We start from the raw sequence: 3177 nt of genomic DNA, 5'->3' as shown, positions 1-3177 counted from the left end.
AATTATTTGTTCTTATTTCTCCTTTTTTGTCTACTGATATCTAATTGTTCCAGCACCATTTATTGAAAAGCCTATCCATTATTCATTTTAATTGCTTTTGCACCTTCCTCAAATATAGAATGGTCATATTTGTGTCAGTCTGTTTCTGCATTCTCTATTCCATTGGCCAGTATGTCTATTCCTTCAGCAAAACCATATTGACTTAACAACTGCAGACATATGATAAATCTCAGCGTAAAATTGAGCAATTCTTCTCACTTTGTTATTGTTTTTTAAATTTTTGTTAGCATTTTATGTTAGCATTTTAATTCCTCACTCTTTCCGTTGAAATTTATTTATTTATTTATTTATTTATTTATTTATTTATTTATTTATCTTTTTTTTGAGGTGAAGTATCACTCTGTCGCCCAGGCTGGAGTGCAGTGGCGTGATCTCAGCTCACTGCAACCTCCACCTCCTGGGTTCACGCGATTCTCCTGCCTCAGTCTCCCAAGTAGCTGGGACTACAGGCACCTGCCACCACGCCAGGCTAGGTTTTTATATTTTTAGTAGAGACGGGGTTTCACCATGTTAGCCAGGATGGTCTCGATCTCCTGACCTTGTGATCTGCCTGCCTCGGCCTCTCAGAGTGCTGGGATTACAGGTGTGAGCCACCGCACCCGGCGTGAAATTTAAATATAAGCTTTTCCATACAAAACATTGTTCTGGGATTTTTGGTAGGTATTGTGTTAATCTGCATATCAATTTGGGAAGAAGTGATATTATTACTGTATTAGAACTTCACATTTGTAAATATGATATACCTACATTTACTTAGATCTTATTTAATTAATTTTATTGGTATCTGGTAAATTTCGGTATATAGAACTTGTGTTTTACCAATTATATTTATAACTAGATATTTATTTTACCTTTTTAAGAGTGATTATAAGTAGTATTATTGAGTCCATCCAGTGATTGTTTAGTTATTTTAAAGTTTTGAAATTTTACTTTAATAATTTCTGTATTTTCTATTAATATTTGCTCATATTTTCTATTATTTTATTTTTTAAGTGGTTGATAATTGCATGTTGAAGCATTTTTATACAGCTGCTTTAAAATTTTTGTCAGATTATTCCTACATCTATTTTGTCTCAATGTCAGTACCCATTGATTGTCTTTTCATATTTAAGTGTGGTTCTCCTGGCTTTGGGTATGATGAGTGACTACTGATTGTGCACTGGACATTTTGGGTATTATGTTCTAAGATTTTGGATCCTCATTAATCTCATTTTTAGAACTTAAGTCACTCTGTTTAGGTATTACATACAGGTTCAGGTGGAGATAAATGTTCATGCCCCTGGTAGGCCCCATTAAAATCATACTTATAAATGTGGAGCATTGATTCACACTTCCTCAATGAAGAAGATTATGGAAAAGAACAGTTCTCCCCCGAATCACACTGACACCTTCCCAGTAAAAGCAGTTTCAATTAGCACTGTCTCATTCACTCAGTAGGGGTATAAGCTCAGTCCACTCTGGGCTCTGCTGACATCAGAGTGGAAAATAAAGCATTTATCCAGTATCACCTCATTTCACTTTATTGCCTGGTGGAGGACAGAAACTCAGGTTCCATCTGGATCCTGCTCATACTAAGTTGGAGGAGGGGTACAGTGCCAACTATAGTGCCTTCCCAAAACACTTCACTCCACCTTGTTGCTGCCAGGTCAAAATGGAAGCTTGGTCTAAGCGAGTCCTGTGAACTAGGAGGTATGTAATGTGAAGCCAAGTGGGAGTGGAGTTTCAGCTCTCTGGGGGACTCTGACAACACTGAGGAAGGACTGGGTGTAGGGGAATGCAGACTAGCCCCGCCTTGTTCCACCTCCTTCACTCTCGATTCAATTCTTGAGTTGTTTAAAACCATTCCTGACTGATGCCATTCCCATCATTACAAGATCCTCGCCTTTCTCTCTGGACTCTTTTGTATGTAGATGGATGCAATTTTGTGTTATAAAGTATTTTTCCAGCATATAATTTATTTTTGTTTAAAAGCTTTAAAACAATCCATTTTATATTTGAATATGAGGCATTATTCAAATAAAAAACTCTAAGGAATTCTTGTGATGTTATTGAATCAGTTGGTTTTAATGTGAATATATATGTAGATTTGGAATACCACACTGAATGCAAGATCAAGCATTAATGGGAAAAAAAGTAGTAAGACTATCTAAATGGTGTTTACAGTGTGTTTCTGAAGAAATTGACTTAATTTCAGGAAATTACTCATGCCTGAAATTAATTCCCGTAATGGATTTGTTTGTTGCCTTTGGAAGAGTAGTGGCAATATTTGAGCTCACCTTGCCTCTTTTTGAAAAGAAAATCTAGTATTTACTTTCTACTTACTGCATACAATTTTATTCCAGAATTAATGAAGACATAAAAATTAATTTGAATATCTTGGAAAACTAGGAAGAACTATATTTAAAGTATTGTTATTATTAAAATCCTTAAATAAGAAGTTACCATCACATTTAAAATCAATATCACTTTTTCTACCAGCTGCCCACTGTGTCATATCAAGCAAGTTTATCATTCACTGTTGGAATTACTCCAGCTGTGAACTCTCTAAGATGAGTTGTTCTTTGCTTCAAACCATTTGGGAAGCTACCTCTCTACTCCCATGATGTGAAAATGACTCTCCTGGCAATTATTCAGCAGATTTTTTTTTAAATAAAATACCCTTTTTATCAAAAGGCTAACCCCTGCTGTTATAACAAATATTACTTCTTTTCATTTAATGCTACAAGAGGAAATTATGGTAAACAGAAGCTGTTTTCTCCTGCATAAAGTAAGTTACAAACTCATGACTTATTTCTCTGGAAACACTTTAAAGCAACAGTATATCTGGCATGTGAAAATGATGACGCATTATTCAAATAAAAACTCTTGCTTCACAGACAGTAATAAATGTGTCTGACACAGCTATGGTTTGAAAACATGAATCTATTTGTAATTTTTAAATGCATTGCTAAAATAAAAGCAAAGTGTAACAATGCACAGCACCAGCCAGAGATAACATGTGAATCCTGCTTTAATGTCTAACAAACTGAATGCAATTATGCATTTCATAAGTTTGTGGGTTTTGTTTGTTTGTTTTTAAAATTTGGGATCACTAGCAAATTAGTTCGCTTTTGTTTT

At 34.8% G+C, this 3177-nt stretch overlaps 1 annotated feature.

Moving 5' to 3' along the window:
• Positions 1664–1958: an enhancer, noted in NCBI's record as "tiled region #1307; K562 Activating non-DNase unmatched - State 24:Quies". NCBI's record gives its function as "activates a minimal TATA promoter and a strong SV40 promoter by Sharpr-MPRA in K562 cells {active_cell/tissue: K562}" and the evidence as "EXISTENCE:reporter gene assay evidence [ECO:0000049][PMID:27701403]".

The sequence above is a fragment of the Homo sapiens genome, chromosome 2, assembly GCF_000001405.40.
Source record: "Homo sapiens chromosome 2, GRCh38.p14 Primary Assembly".
Classification (NCBI taxonomy): Eukaryota; Metazoa; Chordata; class Mammalia; order Primates; family Hominidae; genus Homo; species Homo sapiens.
This window is presented reverse-complemented; position numbering and strand designations above follow the sequence as displayed.